This window comes from Homo sapiens, chromosome 6, assembly GCF_000001405.40.
Source record: "Homo sapiens chromosome 6, GRCh38.p14 Primary Assembly".
Classification (NCBI taxonomy): Eukaryota; Metazoa; Chordata; class Mammalia; order Primates; family Hominidae; genus Homo; species Homo sapiens.
In genome coordinates, this window is record NC_000006.12 from 22,972,341 (window position 1) to 22,973,746 (window position 1,406).

Here is a 1,406-nt window from a genome sequence, read left to right on the forward strand (position 1 = left end):
TATTCTTAACAGATCTTTTTTCAAGATTTAAACTGAAGTACTAAGATTGAAAAATAAAATAAAAACACATAAACTTTTGGTAATAAAGCTGTTTTTGTTAAGGATATAATTGGAGGTGGAGAAATCCCAAGGGATTCTTGTTTATATTTTTAAGTAGTTAATATGATTATCTGAACACTTTAATCTCTGGCTGTTTTTTCTAATCTAGAAGCACCGAGTAGAGATGGAAAGGTCACAAATTATTGGATATACAACAGCAACAAAAACAAAAGAATGCTGAGGAAAGAAATTTAACAAGAATGTTACGTTAGCTAGGTGAAGAAAATAATATACATCATTACATGACCTCATACATGTTGAACATCTCTAATCTGAAAATCCAAAATCCAAAATGCTCAAAAATTCAAAACTTTTTGAGTGCTGACATGACACTACAAGTCAAAAATTCCACAACTGACCTCATGTGATGGGATACTGTCAACACGCAGCATTGCCAAGAGAAAAAACAAAAACCCTTCCCTTTTTACTTCAGCTGCACTATATCTGTTCTATGCCTGCCCAGATTCCCCCATGCAAGGACTCCCATGAAGGGTAATAAAATGGCACATGTGCAGGCAAGATGCACCAATGGCAGGTTCCCCATGACGCCCTGCATGACGCCAAGACCTATGTGCATTACACACTGAGGTTTTTGTTTTGGCTTTTTCTCTGCTTGTGGTGTAAAGATATCATTGCAAATGTCAAAAAGGCCTGCAGACACCCCTATGGGTAACTCTGGTAAGAAAAAGAAAAAGCATTTATGTTTATCTATAGTACAGAAAGTTAAGCTGTTTGGAGAAACTGGAATGTGAAACGTCTTACAGAAGACGACAGTGTTGGAATGACTACCACATATGACCTGAAGAAACAAAAGGATAAACTGTTCAAGTTCCACATGGCAAGTGATGAAAAGAAGTTAATGAAAAACATAAAAATGCTGCATAAAACTAAAAATAAAGATCTCTGTTGTGTTTTTAAAGAGTGGATCCATCAGTGTGGCAATGAGCACATGTCACTTGATGGTATGCTGATCACGAAACGAGCAAAGATCTATTACAATGAAATGACAAGTGAAGGGAACTATGGATATTCAACAGGTTGAAGTTTGTTTGTTTTTTTTTATAAAGGCATAGTATTAAATTTTTAAGAAATTGTAGTGATAAAGCATCTACTGATCATGAAGCAGCAGACACATTCATTGATGAGTTTTTCACGGTCAACACTGCTGAAAATCTGATGTCAGAACAAATCTACGTTGAATAAACATTACCGTTTTACCATTATTACCCTAGAAAGACACCGACTACAGTTGATGAGACAGCTCATGCAGGAATTAAAGATGCCAAAGCCAGAATAACTGTGCTCGG